Source organism: Homo sapiens, chromosome 3, assembly GCF_000001405.40.
Source record: "Homo sapiens chromosome 3, GRCh38.p14 Primary Assembly".
NCBI classification, from domain to species: Eukaryota; Metazoa; Chordata; class Mammalia; order Primates; family Hominidae; genus Homo; species Homo sapiens.
The window spans coordinates 168,232,122-168,253,029 of NC_000003.12; the positions used below are offsets into that span (position 1 = coordinate 168,232,122).

General features: G+C 38.5%; 1 pseudogene across 1 annotated transcript in view, besides 3 other annotated features; it reads left to right on the forward strand.

The window, feature by feature from the left end:
- Positions 17,190–17,279: a silencer, noted in NCBI's record as "silent region_14870". NCBI's record gives its function as "represses an Ori minimal core promoter by ATAC-STARR-seq in GM12878 lymphoblastoid cells {active_cell/tissue: GM12878}" and the evidence as "EXISTENCE:reporter gene assay evidence [ECO:0000049][PMID:35858748]".
- The window catches only part of EGFEM1P (EGF like and EMI domain containing 1, pseudogene), a 581,078-nt pseudogene continuing 577,570 nt past the window's right edge, over positions 17,401–20,908 (forward strand). The window contains exon 1 of the transcript NR_021485.2: positions 17,401–17,906. The product of NR_021485.2 is annotated as an EGF like and EMI domain containing 1, pseudogene (transcript). The remainder of the gene's footprint in view (positions 17,907–20,908) is intronic.
- Positions 17,620–17,819: an enhancer, noted in NCBI's record as "active region_20777". NCBI's record gives its function as "activates an Ori minimal core promoter by ATAC-STARR-seq in GM12878 lymphoblastoid cells {active_cell/tissue: GM12878}" and the evidence as "EXISTENCE:reporter gene assay evidence [ECO:0000049][PMID:35858748]".
- Positions 17,950–18,279: a silencer, noted in NCBI's record as "silent region_14871". NCBI's record gives its function as "represses an Ori minimal core promoter by ATAC-STARR-seq in GM12878 lymphoblastoid cells {active_cell/tissue: GM12878}" and the evidence as "EXISTENCE:reporter gene assay evidence [ECO:0000049][PMID:35858748]".

Sequence of the window (20,908 nt, forward strand, 5' to 3'; positions counted from 1 at the left end):
TTTTCTCATTTCTTTTCTTCTCTCTTCCCCTCCATTTTTTTTCCAAAATATTCACCTCCTTTCTCCTTCCTTCCTTCCTTTCCTTCCTGTGCTATGTCTTCTGTCTACATACCTACCTACTTGTCACCTACCATATTTTCATTTATTCAACAAATATTTACCAAGATGCCGCCTATGTATCAGACACTATTCTAGGCTCTGCAAGTACAGAAGCAAACAAAATGAGTCAATATCTCTCACTTTTGTCTCATTACCTTCATTTGAAAAAATATTAAAAACAGATCACAAGGAATATATATAAATAACACAATCCACAGTAGAAATAGGTATAGAAGAGATGAAAAACAAACAGGAAAGAAATAAAGAAATAAACCAGTGCTTAGGAATGAAACTAATACTGTAAAGTTGAAACATATTTGTTTTTGCCACAAATTTGGCTCTATGGTTTAATTGGAAGATTCTAAGTTCTCCTAGGATAAGAAAAGGTCTTAGAATACTCACATTTTTAAGAAGGTCTGATGCCCAGGGTCATAGTTGTTTTTTCTATATGATTCCTTCCTAGGCAAGTGTTTGACTATGCTGTGGGAACATCTAATCATGGTGATCACATATAGAGGCCACAGAGGAGAGTCCATCTAAGCCATGCCCATCTCCTGGGTCTAGGTTCCCCATTCATAAATCAGTTTATTGTAACTCTATAACTTGTATCTATTTACTGATGTGGTATTACTTGTGTTATAATATATGAATGTGAAAGCATATGAAAGTGAAAAGTGATTATGTTTCTAATCTGAGAGATGTAAAAAATGGCACTTTGGATAGGCTCCTATACATGGAGGAAATTCATATTCATTCCTTCACTTGTTTTTCATTGTACCCAAGCTCTAGCATTTCAGCTCCTTGAGATTCTAACTTGGTCTTTAAGACATCTCTCATATATTAAACAATTGCAATAAGGGTTGCTCAGCATGTTACTTGTTAATAAAGGACATCTGCATTTGTTTTAATGCTTATTTAAGAAGAAATTGGGATTTAGTGCTTGTCGGCACTAATGGAATCAATGGTACTTTAATATGTGTTAATGGCACTTCAGCTCCCTTAGCAGCAGAAAACAGGTTATTAACCAAACACATTATTGCTCCAAATGAAAGAGAAAGTATATGGAATCTAGAAAAGGCAAAGATGGCACATGATTTTGCTGGTTTGAGATCATTTAAACCTAAATGAAACATATATTTTTCTCCTTCACTATGTTTTTAATCCAAAGGGCAAATACAATTGTAACAGTGGGTGTTGGGTAAAGCCATCATGCAGCTTATCAAAGCAGAGGGCAAAAACACATGCTCAGTGCTCCTCCTTGTGAAATTTCAATGAGATGCTAACTGTGAGCTGCTAGCTTTAGGAAAGGATTTTCCTTCTCATTGATATATATATCTTCAAAGGATCGAGTGATTAAGAGGGGAAGAGGTGCTCTAAAAAGAACAGAGAAGGGCAATGCATTGGGTTAGGCTTTAGCTCATCATATTAGATTCAACAAAACAGGAAGTCAAATTAATGGTCGAGGCCTTGACTTGTATAACTTGCTTTTGGACCACCAAGCCTCTCTTTACTTTGCACCTGTATAGAGCTTTGATCTTATAGTGTTCATTTCTTTGGGCATTTATTACATCTGGTAGCAGATTTTGTAATTTAGGCACTACATGTTGTTAAGTCAGAGACTAGAAGTAACATAAGAAAATAAGACATAATTACTTTCTAAAAAAACCCTATTTTTTCATTTGATATCTGCATCAAAATGTTCTTAAATATTTCCTAATATGGCTAATCCTTACATTTTTAAAAGACCAGTGAAAGCTTTCTGCAGTTAAAAGGTTACTCAAGCATTCTCAATTAGTAAAGAGTGTGCTTAACTTTTGAAATATTTTGTACAGTTACTGAAAATATCTATTTTATTGATATTTTCTAACATTCATGTTATTTTTCTTTGGGATGGAAAAATAGACAGAAACCTTAACTGAAAAAGAAAGTCACTTATAGTCTCATACAATTGATTTTTACACTTTTATTTAATGGTTTATAGACTCTAAAAGAACCTTCTCTGAAATATAACCTTTTTCAAATCTTGTATAGAATGGATAATTTCTGGCATTTTTGGAGACTGAAAGGACAACCAATGATTAAGTGTTTGAAATACTAGATTGAAAATGAGAAAACTTAATGTATTATCTCAGTTACACACCATGGTCTCAGTCTCATCATTGAGTTGTTATAAAACCCAGCAAGGCAATTTTAAGGAAGTGCTTTGTACTTTTGGAAGAAAGGTTCCATATCAATATACAGCATTAATATGAGTTTCTTGGAGGGCTATTGCCTGAAATCTGAGAGTCAATACAGTATTCTCAGTTGCTAGTGTCTAGTTACATAAAACACTCTAGGATTATACTGCCAATTTCATATCTACGCAGAGTTTTGTTAATACTTACTATAAAAGGGGATGCTAAGCAGTGAGATCAATGATCTATTCGAAGTCACTCTATATGTGGGCAACATTTCTTCCTGCTTCATCCCTCCTGGTTTACTAAAGGAACATTTTCCTATCTTGAATTTCAACATATTTATTTTGACATCACAGGGACAAACATATATTGTTTAAATTTTCTCTCTTTTCAAGAACAGTGAAGAATAAAAATTGGTTTCCTTGAGTGTTTCAAAAAGGGGGACAATAATTCCATTGTGAATTTACACCAGATTGCCTAACATGAGCTAAACAGCAATGAATTAACTCAAGAATGCTGCAGCTTAATCTAGAGAGAATGAACTGCTTAGAAGGTATGTTCTTAACACAATTTCTGCCACAGGCTGTAGCTATTTTCAAATCTTTTAAAATGTATTTCAGGTAGCATTCTTAGCACTTTAATGCAGGGCCATTTTCTTCAATGTTCTCTTCAGGGTGAATAGCTATCATCCTACAAAATGAGAATTCAGGCCACATGTCAAACTTTCAAGGAGGTACATTGGGAAGTGATAATGCCTAAAAGATAAATTGGAAAGATACCATACGTATTAGCTTGTGTAAATGCTGCTTTCAATTTGTGTAGCAGTCACTGTAGCACTTTCAGAACAAGATAATGAATTAAATGCAATTCTTGGCTGTCCCCTGAAGTCCTAATAAGGACCCAATAGTTGGATTCAAACTGATTTGAAACCTATCCTGGAACCATTCCATAGATGCTTGTTCTCATTCTATAACTGGGCCAAGAGAAGCTTTAATGTAGCTTAATTTCTACTCTCTTTAAAGCGCTGACAAGATTGGCTCTTGAATTACAGCAAAACCTTATGTGTTTCTTTGCTTATAAAGAACTTGCCAAATGCCAAGGCTTGTCCTTGGTTTTAATTTCTTAGATGGGATGGTGTTTATACTTTAACCGAAAGAGGTATTGTTATTATCTTACTTTTTTTTTTTCTGTTAATCAAGGTATTAATGGCAATATAAGTTAGCTTTTTTGTTAGTTTTTAGTTGGCCTTTAGGATATTTGGTTTTTTGTTTGTTTGTTTGTTTGTTTTTTGGCAGAGTCTCCCTCTGTCGCCCAGGCTGGAGTGCAGTGGCGTGATCTCGGCTCACTGCAAGCTCCACCTCCCGGGTTCACGCCATTCTCCTGCCTCAGCCTCCCGAATAGCTGGGACTACAGGTGCCCGCCACCACGCCTGGCTAATTTTTTTGTATTTTCAGTAGCGTTAGCCAGGATGGGCTTGATCTCCTGACCTCGTGATCCGCCCACCTCAGCCTTCCAAAGTGATGGGATTACAGGCGTGAGCCACCGCACCCAGCCTAAGATATTTGGTTTTAATTAAAGCACTTCAATCATTCAACATGGCCTCACCAAACAGTGTCTGGGCTCCTATGAAGATAAATGGTTAAGAGACATATTTTCCATCTCAAGGAGCTCAAAATAAATTTGGATGGGGGTAGTGGACAGTAAAATTAAAACATTTGGATATGAATGTGAAATAAGCAACTCAAATTTTATCATGTGAATTTCATTGTTAGGTGGGCAGAAAATGTTGGGTTTTTTTTTAACCTTCCCATATTAGTTACTGCTGGGAGGGTATTGGAAAAGGGTTTGCCATGAGGAAAAATTGTGAGGGCAAGTTAAGAAGTGCTTATCATTTTTTGGAATATGTAAGCTGATATTTTCTAAATTCAATTTATATTTTGAGTCATGCTTTGCGGGGCTTTTCCAAAACTGGTTCAACAACCAGTCAATCAAAAAAGATTCATTAAAGTATTTCCCTTCAAGGCACTGTTTATAAATAATTAAGCAGATAGCATCGTTTAGGTCTGAATGGTGTACAGAGAGAGTGAGTCCATGGAGTCCAGGTTTTCTAGAGGAAGAAGCAGGATGCCCCAGAGCTTCCTCATTCACATCTAAGTGGTCAGAGAAATTTCCTTTCCAAGAAAGTATACAGGATATTGCTTTATTTTTGCTTGAAGCTCTCACTGACCCTGAGGACCACAGACTCACACTCCTTTGTATCTAATCCAGACTCCACATCCTAGTAACTTTGGTTGTCTTGCCAACTGTTTCCAGGTTGTTCCAGCCAATGGCTCAGGCTCTTGGTGAGTTTTCTAGTATCGAATCTGTATGGAAAGTTCCCCTCACATGTACTACAGTTTTGTTTGCCTTCAAATATTCAGGATGTCTCACTCTTCAAAATACAAAATAGGCTTGAGACTTGACAATTTTAGACTCATGAGCATGGTCTCCGATAGGTGAATCTTCCTTTTGACCACTGATGCTGACTGAGTGGCCCCAACAAGTTGTGCCAAGCCACCACCAACCATAGCATAGAGGCTCAGAGTCCCATACCTGAAATTTTCAGAGTGGGAGGGAAAGTGCAGCCAGCCTCATTTACCAGAGGCGCTGGCATGTTCTTTTTTGTGTGGCTTCTGTGAAATTACAGAAAATCAGATAGCTTTCTTTCTAGTGCGGTTTTTACAACCAAATGCTCATGACAGTATAAACCCAGAGCTTTTCTGGACTTAAAGAAAAGGAGTAATCTTAAGAAGAAAGAAAATTCTTGCCTCTGGAAAAATGGGGTTAAAAAAAGGGATGATATCTGAATAGTAGAAAATGTATTATTTTATTCAACAGGAAGGAAGATAAAACATTCTTACGTACCTAACAATCTTCTAAAAGTCTACCTTCACTTTGTTTTCTTCTGTACTAAGTGCTGCTTGTGGTTTGGACATTGCTTTTTAAAACAATATTAAATAAAATACCCCTTAAAAGAAAATGCATGCCCTTGTATTAAGAAAAGATACAGGTTTTTGCATTCTATAGAAAGGAACTTGGCAGTGCTAGAGTCCATTTAACAACAGCGGAGTTGGTAAGGAGAAGCTGGGGTCAAGCATCACATTTTCCACAGAGTATTAAGAATGGGGCTATAGCAGGTAGTAAGCAGGAATTCAGGCATGGAAGCACCAAGATTCTCAGAGGGAGATGCAGCATACTGAAATCAAGTAGCAGGGCTGAGTTAATAATCTGATGGGATTCTGGTATCATGAAAAAGAATAGGGCCATCAGGCAAAGTGGCTCCTAAAGTTTTATGGAACAAACTTTTTAGTATTAATCAGCTTTCACTGATCCAATCTACTTGTAAGCAGATAAACCAGTGGTGTCTTCAGAGTAACTCAGGCTTCTGAGGCACACACTGTGCTAGAATTTCATTATATGAGGATATTAAAAGAAGCATGCCCATTAAAAACTAGCCCAAGAAGCCTACTTACCTAAAATACACTCTGTGGTTCTCAGAGTCTATCACATACATGAGAAAGAATTCTTCCAAAAAAAGTTTTAAACTTGCTGTCTATCCCAAAGTATGAACATCCTATATCATTTATCCTTCTCTCTTAAATTACCTATCAAACAACAAATAAAGCCATGTGCAAAGGTTTTGGGAGAGTCCCAAGTGAGGGCTACTGTGAAGATAAATGGTTAATGTCTGCTCTCCCAGCTGCTCAGTTAATTACTGTAATAGAAAACATCTTGAGGGAAAACACTGCATACAGTTATTAGCAATTAACCCACAACTCTTAAAAAATCACAATTCTTACTAATAATAGAACATTGCCCAGCCAGCCTAATTATAATTTCTACACAAGAGCCTTCTGTTTTCAGAAAATGTGAAATATTATAAGTCACTACTATTTAAAATGCAAATAGGAAATCAGGAGGATGAAGATTACATTGAGAAATGCAAAATGGAGTAGCACAGATAGAAATGGGAGGAGGCATGATTTATGTGGTAATGAACTAATTCCTTGACAAGCAATAGATTCAGATATATTAGCGAAATAACTTTTTGCCGAGTGTTTACTACAGTACAGGACCTTGTGGTGTTAATGATTGGTGCTACAAAAGTGGTAAAGAAGTTAAGACACAGTGTAATGTGGAACAGGAGAATCCATGGTATGGATTTCAGATGTATATTGTTTTGTTTTTCTATGAATCATAGAATCTTCTTAGATATATCTCAATCTTGAAGCTCATTTTTTTCCTCCTATGTAGTTATGTTTCTTTTATTGTTCCTGTTTGCTCAGTGCTTACTAGTCTTCTTGTCCTCTCTGAAACACACCAAATTTATTTCTGTTTCAAAATTTTAAAACACTTGTTATTACTGCTGCCTGGAATATTTATTCCCCAGATTTGGCATGGCTGTTTTCTTCTAAGAATGCATGTATCTGCTCAGAGAAAGCTTCATCACATTACAAAACAGTCTGCTTTTCTCTTCTTTTTCTGTCCTATAACTTTACTTTGTTTTTCCACACATATACCACCATCTGATAGAATATCCCATTCTGCTACTTCGTAACTTATCAACATTAAGCTGTATTCATTAACTTTCTCCCTGTTTTGGATCTGCTATATCCCCACTTCCTAAACCTTCTTCCTCTCCTCTGTGCTTTCAATTATGTCTGTATGAATATTTGCATTATTTTATATGTGGAATATTGTTTACAGCTAAGCCAAATAATGTCTTAGAAGATGTATTTTCTCATATGAACTTTGATTTTTTCTATAGTTAATAATTGTCTTGTGTTTTCTCATATATAAGTAGTTCATTTTCCCCTCAAATGTTCCATGCACAGAAATAAATTCTGTGACTCCCAAACACACTAAATGACCTACCTCCTTTTATTATTTGGAGATATTCATCCTCTACTCCCTACTCATTCTCATTTAATGGAACACGTTTTAGTTCTGGCTCACTGCTTGGATTGTACAATTCCCTTTGCCAATTTCCTGCAAATTCCCTTTGCCTGTTTTCTGGTGTTCATATGTTCTTCTTTCTTAATTCACTTCCTCATTTTGCTGAGGCATTTCCTCCAGTAGCTTCCAGGAAAGGGTATGGTGGGGCTCAGTTTTTTTAGTTTTTATATGTCTGGAAAAGGTTTTACTTTTACCTTTGATTGATAGTTCAGCTGAGTATGGAATAGTAGGTTAAAAATTGTTTCTCTCTATATTTTGAAGTTATTGCTTCCCTATTCTATATCATTTTGATGTTTCTTTTCCAAAAGCCCAATGATATTCTGAATGATATCTTTTGTATGTGTGCTACCTTTGCCCCTTTTAGAATTTTCTTTATGTCCTGTCTGTTCTGAAATTTCATGATGAGGTGAGTCTTGTTGTCCCAGGTACTCTGTGGGCCCTTTCAGTTTAGAGATATGTCTTTCAGTTCTTGAAGTATTTCTTTGATAATTTCCTTATTTTGTTTTCTCCTTTCCTCTCTTTCTAGTTCTCCTAGATTAATGTACTGATTTCATTTCCTTTTCTTTTCTATTTTCTCTCTCTCTTCTGAGAGATTTTCTTGATTTATTTCTTACCTTTCTGTTGAATATTTTTTTCACTGTAGTTATCTTGTTTTTAATGTCAAATACCTATCTCTCATTTACTTAATGTTCCTTTTTCATAGCTAAACAATTTTGTTTATGTAAATGTAAAGTATCCTCTTGTCCTTCTGAAGATAATTGGGGTAAGGAGAATGCATTTCTTTTCTCACATTCTTTATATCTGTTCTTTACATGCAGGTCTCTATAAACTGGAAACTTTCTTCATGTCTGGTGATTCTTGGCTGATTATATTTAAGAGTAAGCACTAAAAAGATTATATTCAAAGGAAGCTGCTTTGTGGATGAGAGTAGTCAAGTGGTGGACTTCACTTGAAGGTTATCAGTTACTGGTCCTTTCATTGGGATCTTCAGAAGACAATCCTCCAACCTCCCTCATGGTGCAAGACATATACTTAGATACAAGTTTTCTGGGAAACACACGTGAGATGAGCCGTGAGAGCCCCTCAGTTCATTCTGCAGACTTTTACCTAATTCTCTTGTGCTCAGCCCTCTGATTCATCTCTGTCAAAGCTGGACCCCTGCAGCTCAGTTTCTCCAGAGAACATATCCCCTGTCTCCTGAGAGGCAGAAGGAGAAGAGAACATCAGGGAGTCAACTACTCTATGTATTTTACAGCCAGATCCCTCATTTTAGGCTCCCACATCAATGTCATCTTCCAGGATGCTTATTGCCTTCAAGCACTAAGTCCCTCAGCCATCTTCTCTGGTGGGTGGACTCACTTCTCTTCTTACAGACATTGCCTTCTGGAGGTACTAACCCTGTAACTTTTGTGACTTCTATCTGTGAAGGCAGTTAGGAATCCTGCATCAGGCTTCTATCTTCCAAACTATTTTGAAACAGTTGGTAGTGTTTTCTCCTCTTCCGTTTGACTTGGTTGGATGAGAACCTAAAACATTTCTTTAATCTTCAGTTAGTGAGGTTTAGGAGGTAGAAAAGATAAAACTGTGTGGTCGATTTACTGTGTTAAATTGGAACTCTATGTTTTGTTTTTTCTTTTAAGATTTAGCATCTATTTTTTAAACTATTTGCCATATTTCTCTAAAACAATGGTTTCAAACTTTTGTATGCATCATAATCACTTGAAGGGCTTGTCAAAACACAAACCCCCACCCTCAGACTGTCTGGTTCAGTAGTATTGGACGGGCCTGAGAATTATTTCTGACAAGTCCTGAGGCAATGCTGATGCTGCTGGTTTGGGGACCACACTTTGACAAATACCAGTTTATACAAATAGCCTTTTTGTTAAAATAACTCTAGTTCTGTTCTTTAATGTTCAGACATGTATGCCTACTGAACTCCTATTCATTCTTTATGACTCACCTCATATACAGCTTGAGGAAGAATTTCTTGACATATAGAAAGCATACGCTTCCCCAAAGTAACGCCTCAGTTATCTGCATTTTATACCTACTTCTCTCGTGTTACTAATCACATTGGACAAGTCACATGGCTGACTCGTCTGGGATAGAGTAAACTCTTTGAGCATGCAGCATCTGTCTTAGTATTTATTTAGATTCTTCTTCCTCCTCCTTCACCTTTCCTTCTTCTCAACTTCCTAGTCTCCTCCTCTTTCTTCTGCTTCTCTGTCTTTTTTATTTCTATTACCTAACTCTCTGCATGACACACAGAGGCATGATGAATGGAACTGAAGTTACGTTACTATGTGCAATCAATAGATAAGATATAAATTTGGAATGTTTTCCTTAAAAATTATGAATATCTTGATTTATTCAATAGTGTGTCATGTAACCAATGGCAAGTTCACTCTCAAAGTGAGGCATTTAGATTATAGAAGCTTTGCTCAAAGTGGCTGGTTTTTAAACTCTTCATTACCTGGTCCACAGAGTGATAAGGAGCTTACCTCAGAATCAAAGTCAATGGACTGCATACTCCATTGAAAAAATCTTGTCATAAGAGTCTGCTAAACTAATGTGCTTAGTGCTTTAGTCTGCTTTCATTCTGGCACAAGCTTCTCATCTTGTTGAGGACCAGTATAAAACACTTTGCAGTTTGCTACCGGTCTGCAGACTGTGCTTTTTTTTTTTTTTTTTTTTTTTAAAATAAAGAGATATAATTTACATACCACAAAATTTATCCTTTTAAAGTGCTTTTCAATATTTTCACGAAGTTGTGTGAAAATACTAATTCCAGAACCATCACCACTATCTAATTCCATAACATGTCATCACCCCCAAAAGAAACCCTGTACACATTAACAGTCACTCCCTATTTTTTCCTGCCCCCAGCCCCTCAAAACCACCAATTCACTTTCTGTCTCTATGAATTTGTCTATTCTAGACCTTTCATATACCATAGATTTATAAGTCACTATGTGGCCCATTTTGTCTGACCTCTTTTACTTAGCATAAGGTTTTCAAGGTTCACCCATGTTGTAGCATGTATCAGTACTTCATTCCTTTTTATTTATGGCTATGTAATATTCTACTGTATAGATGTACCACATTTTGTTTATCCATTCATCAATTGATGAACACTGAAGTTGTCTCCAATTTTTGGCTATTATAAATAATGCTGCTATGAACATTATTGTACAAGTCTTTGTGTGGACATGTTTTTAATTCTCTTGGCCTAGCAGTGAGATTGTTGGGTCATATGGCAACTTCATGTTTGATGTTTGGAAGAACTACCAAGCTATTTTTCAAGGTGGCAGTATCACAGCATTCTTACCAGCAATATATGAAGATTCCAATTTTCCATATCATTGCCAACATTTGTTGTTGTGCCTTTGATTGTATTATAGCATCACAGTAGGTGTGAAGTAGCATTTCATTATGGTTTTGAATGGCATTTCCCTAATGATTAATGATGTTGAGCCTCTTTTCACGTGTTTATTGACCTTTTATATATCTTCTAAAAGAAATGTCTATCTAAATCATTTTCCCATTTTTAAAAATTGTTGAGTTGTAAGTGCTCTTTACATATGCTGAATACTAATCTTTTCTCAGATATATGACATAAATATTTTATCCCTTTCTGTGAGTTGTCTTTTGACTTTCTTGATAGTATGCTGCCTATACTTTGGATACTATGCTCCATAGTTGTATAATAAGCTGAAGCTGCCTGTTTCATCTGCTGAACAAACACACAAACAAAACTATAGAAAATACTCCAGGTGCAAATGTGCACTATGTTTGTATGAAAATATAAAATAATGAACTTTCAAGCACCATCATTTTGGGCTTGTGAGTTACAGCCTAAGCCACAATCTGGGCTTACACATTTTTATAGTGGCAAAAATTCATTTTGTAAGATGATAGCTGCCATAAGTAGTGATTCTTCTGATGTATACAGGCAAAGAAAATGGAAAACCTTCTGGAAAGAATTCACCATTCTAGATATAATTAAGAACATTCATGATTCATGGGAGGAGGTCAAAATAGCAACATTAAAAGAAGTTTGGAAGCAGTTTATTCCAACCCTCATGGATGACTTTGAGGGGTTCAGGATTTCAGTGGAGGAAGGAACTGCAGATGTAGTGGAAATAGCAAGTGAACTAGAATTCAAAGTGGAATCTGAAGATGTGATTGAAATACTGAATTCTCACGATCAAACATTAAAGAGTTGGCATTTATAGATGAGCAATGAAAGTGATTTTATTCAGATGGAAACTACTCCTGATGACGATACTTTGAACATTGTTGAAATGACAACAAAAGATTTAGATTATTACATAGCTTAGTTGATGAGGCAGCCACAGCATCTGACAGAATTGACTCCACTTTGGAAAGAAGTTCTGCTCTAAGAAAATGCTGTCAAACAGCATTGCGTGCTACAGAAAAATCTTTTGTGAAAGAGTCAATCAATGGGGCAAACTTTATTGTTGTCTTATTTTAAGAAATGTCCACAGCCACCCCAACCTATAGCAATGACCACTCTAATCAGTCAGCTGTCACTAACATTGAGGCAAGAGCCTCCACCAGCAAAAAGAGTATGACTTGCTGAAGGCTCAGTTAATTGTTAGCATTTTTAGCAGTATTTTTAGATTAAAGTATGTACCTTTTTTTTAGACATAATGCTATTGCACACTTAATAGTCTACAGTATAGTGTAAATGTAATTTTTATATGTACTGGAAAACCAAAAAATTCATGTGATTCACTTTATTGGGGTATTCATATTATTCTGGTGGTCTGGAATTGAACTTGCAGTATCTCTTAGGTGTGTTTATAAAAGAAACTCAAACGACTCAATAGGAAGAAAACAAATAACCCATTTTTTAAAAATAGGCAAAGGACCTGAATAGGCATTTTCCCAAGAAGACATAAAAATGTCCAACAGATGTATGAAAAGTTACTCAATATCACTAATCATTAGATAAATTCAAATTACAACCACAATGAGATATCACCTCATACCTATTAGAATGACTATTATCAAAAAGGTAAAATATAACAAATATTGGAAAGGATATGGAGAAAAGAAAGCCTTTGCACACTGTTGGTAAATTAGTATAACCGTTATGGAAAAGTGTATGAAGTTTCCTCAAAAAGTTAAAAATAGAACTACCATATGTTCCAGCATACCACTTTTGGGTATATAGCCAGAATAATTAAAAGCAAGATCTCAAAGAGATATTTGAACACCCATGTTTATTGCAGCATTATTTACAATAGCCAAGAGGTGGAAACAACCCAAATGTTCATTGACAGATTAATGGATAAAGAAAATTTATATACATACAATGGAATATTATAAAGCCTTAAAAAGGAGGAAATCCTGTCAAATGCCACAATATGGATGAACCTCAAGGATATTATGCTAAGCAAAATAAGCCAGTCATAAAAGAACAAATACTCTATGATTCTATTCATATGAAGTATTTAAAATAGTGAACACAGAAACAGAAAATAGAAAGGCGGTTGCCAAGGGCTGGGAGGAAGGGAGAGGGAGAATTAGTATTTATGGATATAGAGTTTCAGTTTGCAAGATAAAAGAGTTCTAGAGATCTGTTGCACAACAATATACTTAACAGTAGTGAACTATACACTTAAAAATGGTTAAGATTATAAATTTAAAGTTACATACTTTTTACCCCATACACCCAAAAAAGCATTAGCTGTGCAAAGTACAGTTTCTAAAAAAATGTGTATTTGGGCTAATCTTCCAATTCTGTTCTAATAAATACATATAATTCCAGATCTGATCATTCCATTTAACTCAAATCTGATTGGTAAGTCTTTATGACCAATGAGTATTGGAGTGCTGAGAAATTATGTATAAATCACCAGCCATATATTTCATGAGTTTTATAAAGAATTTATTATTTTCCATAAAAAGAGAGAGAGAGAAAACTATGGATTTGGAGGGGCAAAATTTAGTGGCAGATTATGCCAAAGGGAGAACGATTATTCACATCTTGGTGGGACAGTCTCAGTTGGTTCCTGGGTGAATTTCGTTCTATTTTGTCTGACATCAAGATTTCAATGTGCATGTCTCATTAGTGCTTGTAGGCATTTTTATAATGGGAATTTATTACACTTTCAGGTGACAGAAGCTGCCCTTTAAAGAATTGCTTTCTGACGTCCTCCTTTTTCAACCTTCAACACCTGCTGAATGAAGTGGCCTGTACTCTTTTCCTGTCCCCATATAGACACTGGAAGTTTTTGTGTGCAGGAGAGCAGGACTGAAAAGCTTTGGCTGGAAGGTTTTTGTAGCAGCCTGCTTGTTGAATTGCCATGGATCAACAAATTAGAAGAAGATAGCTGAGAAGATAAAGTATTTGGTAGCTGTAAAGCTTCAAGCAGGAACTCAAGAAGATTTTTAGAACATCTGGTCGAAATTTATTTCTTTATAGGTAAGCATCCCCTTTTACAACCAGCATACATAAAGCATTAAATTGGCTTACCCCACCCCTTCCTAACAGGAGAGAAGCTGGTTAGATTTATTACTCCTTTGATACAGGTCTGGAGGGAGAGTGAAGTGGCATGTGGAACTCCCACTGAAGGACTCCCTCAAAATCTTTAGGACTCCTTTTAGATAGAATGTTTGTCTGCAATTTCTAACTCATTTTTAAGAATCTCTCTAGATTGAGATTGTGCAAGATCATTCACAAAAATAAAACTCAATTGATAATGTTTCTGGATTTTTTCTGTAATATTTATGTCCAAGCAAGGGATATCATCAACACAAAACTTTTTATTCTCTTATTTTTAAAATTGGTTTTTGTGTAACTGGCTCATTCTCTTGCTCGGTTAAATTTAAAATTTATTTTCCTTTGACAATAAAGGTGGAGTTAATTGTTTTGTCTGTGTCTGCCTTCATTTTGGGTGTCCATAACAACCTCCAAACACCAAACTGCATTGTTCTTTTAATATGGAAGATTATAACTAACAGGTTTCATAATACTTTTTTGTTTTAAAGATATAGCATACCCAACCAATCAAACCAAATAACCAGTTATTTCAAAATTGTATGAATATACTGCAGAAGGGGAGCTGATTTCAAATCAGTGTTTTCAAGTTCATGGCAAAATTTTAACACTTGTGTTAGAAAAGTATATTTCATTTAATGCTGTTGCTTACATGACATTGTGTTCATATTATTATCCATGCTAGAATAATTTGAAATAAATCTCACTTTCTGAAATGTACACTAATCATATTTATGCTGTAGCATCCTAAGTGCTTTAAATATTCATCTATAGTAAAAATGTGCTTTGAAACTAATGTATATAAAAGGAAACTTTTCTAATTTATGATTTTCAATGGGCTTAGTTACTTCCCATGTACCTAAGCTGTCCTTCACTAAACAACTATGCGATCAGATGATTTACATACATTCTTGTATTTCTATTATTCTTTAGCTTTTAAAATAGTTCTGAATATTAGCTGTGGCTTACATAAAATTTAGTCTTGTAATAAATGTGATCTATTATTTATGCAAGACTTTCAGCGATATTATGAAAGAGAATGTTTAGAAACTTTTTACATTCCAGGAGGGAATGAAATTGGTTGGGATACATCCAAGCAGAGTTAAAATTAGTTCAGAAGCAAATAAAAGCTTAGCAAGTCAAAGGAAATTTTGGGGTACAATTAATCTTTACTGTCATCTCTTGGTATGCTATACATTTTTATTAAAATAATTAAGATCAAACTGTATTGAAACAATCTGGAGTCTTTACATTTCATCCAAAAGACAAACAAAAAATCGAATCAATGGAGAGGATTATTATTATATTTTTTTACCTATAGCTATATCCAGATGGGGAGAAAAACAGCCCCACCTTATATAGTTAGTACCATCAGTTCAGAAGCCACCATTTTTGTGTGTTATCCAGTTTCTTTTCTTTCCTTGTTCCCCCACAGTGCCCTGACTGCCTTGGTCATTTCACTGTTCATTAGCATCTCACTAGAAGAGGGAAGAAAAAAAAGAGGAGGTGAAATTAAGCAATCAACTTTGTTACTTGTTAAAAAAGGTGGCCAAGAGGTTGAGTAGAAGTTAGAAGTAAGAGTTAAAAATATATTTTTAAATTGTCAACGTGTTTTCTCAGCCTATGCTAGGCCTGTTAATATCAGAACTAATTAGAGTTAGCCAAGTTACAATGCAACTCTACAGTAGATATAATCACCACTATCACCAAGTCCACTGTCTCTGGGGTTAGAGAAGGCCTGGTTGATGTATATCTGGCATTTAGAAAGAGAAGTCAGAATGAATCCTTTTTTTAAAAAAATGAAATAAGGGGGGTTAAGTAATGATTTCTATTGTGGAAAGCTCAAAAATTATGTTTGTTAAAGATGTTTGTCAAAGGATAAAGATGTCTAGTTACGTACTTGTACTTGTGGCTTTTCAGTTTACTAAATTAAACTTCAATTTTAAAAGGAGTAAAAGATACAGATATGTCTCAGAGAAATAGAAAATACTATAGGGTGGCATGAATTCCAAACTCTGAAGCTCAAGGAGAGCAAAGTCACAGAATGCTGAAGAATTCAGGAGTAGTTTGGTTTTATCTCACCTCCACCTTTTTTTCCTTTTCAGAGAAACGACAAAAGTTTGCTTCTCAATCCCTTCTGTAAAAGCCCAAATGGGCCGGGCGCGGTGGCTCCGCCTGTAATCCCAGCACTTTGGGAGGCCGAGGAGGGCAGATAACGAGGTCAGGAGACCATCCTGGCCAACATGGTGAAACTCCGTTTCTACTGAAAATACAAAAAATTAGCTGCGCGTGGTGGCGCGCGCCTGTAGTCCCAGCTACTCAGGAGGCTGAGGCAGGAGAATCGCTTGAACCCAGGAGGCGGAGATTGCAGTGAGCCGAGATCTCGCCATTGCACTCCAGCCTGGGCAACAGAGCCAAACTCCGTCAAAAAAAAAAACAAAAAACAAAAAAAAAACAAAGGGAACAAAGGCTCAAAACACTGAAACTAAGAGCCAGATGGTTATTTCAAATATTCAGGACAAGAGGGAGCCCACATAACCATTTGGGAAAGGTCCTTTTAGGGCTCCCAGAACTGAGGAAATCAGGTGGTACCACTTTAAGTACAGTATTTAACTATGAATGAGTCACTGGAGAGCCACTTTTGGTAAGTTTAGGAATCAAAGAAAAAAGTCGTCCCACTGCAGATTGATTTTTTTTTTTTTTTTTTTTTTTCAGGGATAAACAGCAGATTATGGCTTCGGAGCCTGGGCTGTCCTTTGTTGGAGGGCACGATGCACCATAGATTTTTATTTTCACGAAACAGACTCCAGAGGTTTGTGGCCTTCCAGACAACAGCTGGCACCGGGCAGAGGCACAGCCTACGGCCTGAGCTGCTGGCGACTGCATCGCGCTTGGCCGTGCGTCCCAGGCTGCGCTGGCCAGCACCGCAGCCAGAGAGCTTCCCGCTCCGAGCAGGAGCGGACGCTGTTCGTCTCTGGAGGGGCCATGGTGCTCGCGACTGGCTGTTCCTCCTTATATTTGGGGGAAAGGAGCTGGTTTGAAGGAAAGGAGGGATTAAGTTTGTAAAAGCGTTGGCTCCTCCTTATAACTCTGGTGCCTAAAGGGGGTGAGATGATAGCCAAATAAAACGAAGAGAGATGACCCCGTTTTGAGTGAGGAGGATTTCTGGATGAGCCGGCGATATGTCCTGCAACTGTCGATTTGGCAGATTTGACTCAATCAACTGACAATTGGTTCCCACTTCAAACACACCTCCCTCAGCCTAGTGCTCTAACCGACTCCCCAGACTCGGGGTGGGGACCAAGCAGAACAAGAGAATCAAAAGTCAGCCTTCTTTTGGTCTCTGCTCGTGCACAACTGGTTTGGTTCTGAGCAGGCTGATGTTTGAGAGGAAAAGCCAGGACTGCTTGGGCTCTTTGGCGGGATTTGAGTGTGTATGCTGGGAGGGGGGCGGGTAGGAAGAGGTGGGAGCAGAGTTAGGCTGAGTACTGAGCGAAGCCCCTTATTTTGCGTCCCAGCTGCCCTTCCAGCCCCCAGCGCCCAGCCCCCGCCGCGGCTGGGTGAAGAGGAGGGGTCGAGGAGGGCGCAGGGCGTGGGGGACGCCCAGCAGCGCCTCAAGCCCGTGGTGGCGGCGGGGCTGTCTCTTTAAGCGCTCCGGAGGGGCTGGGGCGGGAGGGCGGCGAGCGCGTTTCCATGGCACCGGGGCTGCGGGGGCTGCTGGGCCACTGGGCTCACTCGGTTTCAGTTGCTCCCGGCGGAGCAGGGGCATGCAGCTCAGCGGCCACCGAGCCTCTGGGGCTCGCCCGGCCGCTCCTCGCGCTCCCAGACGCCTGTGACGCCTGTTGGGGCCAAGCTGCTGCCGTTCCCTCCGCAGACAGACGCGCCGCGCCAGCCTCACGAGCCCTGCACCAACTTCTGCCCGACAAGCCCAACTTCTGCGCCGGGTTCGGACTTGCGGAGCCGGAACGGCGCACCGCGCGCAGCCCGGGCGGCGGCCAGGGCGGATCAGCCTCGCCGAGATGTCCTCGCGACTGTGGCTCTGGTGCTTCTGCCTGGGCGGTTGCCGGCTGGCCGCCAGGAAGCGCCCTACAGCTCCGGCTGGGCATGTAAGTGGCGCCCGCGCGCTCCGGAACGCTTGGAGAGAGCAGACAACAGTATGCCCCGCCCCACCTCGGACCTGGTGCGGACACCGCGGCCCGAGCCCGGGAAGGGATGGGGGGCAGGAGGTGGGGACAGACACCTGCGGGGGCTGCGGGCTGTCCCGGGCGGAGCGCGGCGGAACGCAGTCCCCAGCTAGTCCTTGGGGAGCGCCAGCCCGGGAGCGGAGACCGCGACCGGGGCGGGTGTGCTCTCCACCCGGTACTTCCTCAGCGCCTGACAGATTTTTGTCCCCCGCCCCCAGGTTTGGGTGTGTGCGCGCGTGGTATGTGTGTGTTTTCGTTATTTTTCTGTTTTAAGAGTAATTGGCTAATGACTACCACTTTGTGACAGGGTTGTGAATGAAATCCTGTCGAACACCGAGTTTGACATTTTTTTCTTTGTAGAGACCAATGAGTTCGTGCACATGTATTCTTTCTTTTTTTGGGGGAAGTATCGCCGAGTCGGACGGAGTGGTTTATTCCACAGGTTTGACCAGAGGCAAATCCTGGCTCGTCTGCCGAAGTGAGGAGCTGGGGAGATGAGTATATGAAGGATTGAGTGCTCGGCCACTTAGCTGCTAGTCCCCTTATTAGAGAACTGAAGAGTTAGTAGGAAGGTGACTCAAACGCATCGTCTCAGGATGGGCATGGTTTCATTCCGGATTAGAAATCATGAAAGCTAGGAGATAATTCTTGTCACCGTGTCAACCATTAGCGAGGAGCTCACGGGAAGTCTAAGTCTTTACAAATTGCCTAGTCCTCTTGACTGGCTGGAGAAGTTTCACCTGAATTCTGTAGCCTCAGCGGAATCATCATCGAACCACCTGAGAGAGAAAACAGATCTAATTCTGCTTTTCGATTTCTGCTCCTGGGCGGTTATGAATAGACACCAGAATATTTTGAACATGTAAACATTTTTGCCATTTTGCTCCTACTCTGCTTCACCTTTGCCTTTCTGAAATGTGAATACTTTATTATAGAAAAATGGCTTAGATAAGTACACAAAGCCATCCATAGATCTCTGAGGCTTTACTTTTTCCTGTAAGAAAAATTCGATTTCAGGGTTCAAATTACATTTCCATATTTCATTTCTTTCATGTGAGATTCAATCTTGACACATGGCCAGGGTGTCAGTGGCATCTCAGAACTTCTTGCCTACATAGTTTGTAGATATGTATTTGGCAAAAATGCCACGTTTCTGGGTATGTGATTTCTCTTGAATTGATGTGTCTTGTTTATTTTGAAGAGAAGGTTGATTTAGACTTTTCTTCTTCAGTTTATCTCAGAAAACACATCCGACTTTGGATAGCTTGTGCATGCGTAAGCCTGCACTTCTTAGAAACTGTCTTTTAGAAAGCTTGCAGAGTAGCCATGCTCTTACCTTTACAAGTGCCTTTATTTAAGTGGATCCTAGGTTGGCTAATTAGCCACGAAATCACCCATGCACACTGAGACAGAACAGTCCCTTTGGAGAGGAACTGAGAAATAACAGAAATACCTACATCACTTTTGACCTTGTTTGGCTGTTTTACCTCAGGTTTCAATATTGACTCTTTTGTTGAAAAGGCTGGAGGGATGACACTGCATTTTTTTTTCTTTTAAGGATACTGCTACTGCAGCTCATTTATTTATCAAGTGAGATGAGATCAGATATTAAAAAATATATGAATTCTTAAGTGTTTAATACAGATGCTTTTTCCAGGATGTCATTGAGGATGTTTTCCAGGATGTACTTTCTGAAATCTTGATGGGAAAAATCCAAATTTTGTAGTTCTCCTTGGTATTAGACATAATGGTGGTTTCTTCAGCAGGAATCGTGTTGGGATTTAGTGCTAGGTTTCTTCAGATGCCTTTGCAATTGTTGTAGGCATGTGAAATGTAGCCACATATAGATAGCACTTGGCTTCCGCATACCTGCCTATCTATTAAATTAAAGAGAATTCTTCCTGAGATTTGTATTGACCTCTGATGTCCATTATCAGTGAGAGCAGGCTTCTAATGAGGTGAAGACCACTAATGAGAATGCATCATCTTACTGACTGGCACTTATAGGTCATTAACACAGGTAAAAGTTTGATGTAGCTAAACTTGTACTTGAGAAAATTTTGGAGCTGGGGTGACAAGTGAAAATAAGAAACAACTGTGCAGCTAACCAGCAGTCATTGTGTTTATGGTGTATTCCTCTGAAGGTAAGCTCATTTCCAAAGAAATTTTTTTTAAGAAAGCAAAAGATGAAATATGAATATTCCAACTCTAATGATAATTGATCTGTCTGATGACCTTGTCTTACCACATTTAGGAAATCTTGAATAACTAATATTAGGCAGATTCATAAAATCAGCATTTGGAAGAGTGCCTAAGTACCTATTACGTACAGAGGCATTAGAAATCACAGGCAACAATTAATCCGTTTGAATTCTTACATGCCAGGCAAATTTCTAGCTACTTTACATGTATTATTTCATTTAATCCTGGAAATGCCCTATGAGGTAGGCACATTATCATACCATTTTATGACAAAGAAAGAGACACAGTAAGGTTAAGTTACATTCCAGAAATTCAGAAGATCTGGGCCTAGGCAGTTGGATTCCAGAGCTGAAGTTCTTAACACATGCAGTCCATTTAAGAACGCTCAGGCCCAGCCTCTGTTTTTAAGAAGTTCTTTTTAATCACTTCAATGCGTTTTCAGTGGGAGTAGAGCTGGTACCTTCTACCTAGTGGTTGAGATACCTGTGCCACCTTTTTTGATTGTTGCCATAGTTATATGGTTCTGTTGGCATTCTGTGGTGGGTATGGAGAGAGGTTGGCATGCTAATTGTGCTGCTATGGGTAGGATAGTTCCTCACAAGGAAGATCTGATTTATCTCCTCCTTATTGAGACTCTTCATAGGAAATTATCCTCCTCTCTCATGGCTGTAAGTACTTGAGTATTAAAATGAGGGGGTAGGTTTAAACTGGATATTATACAG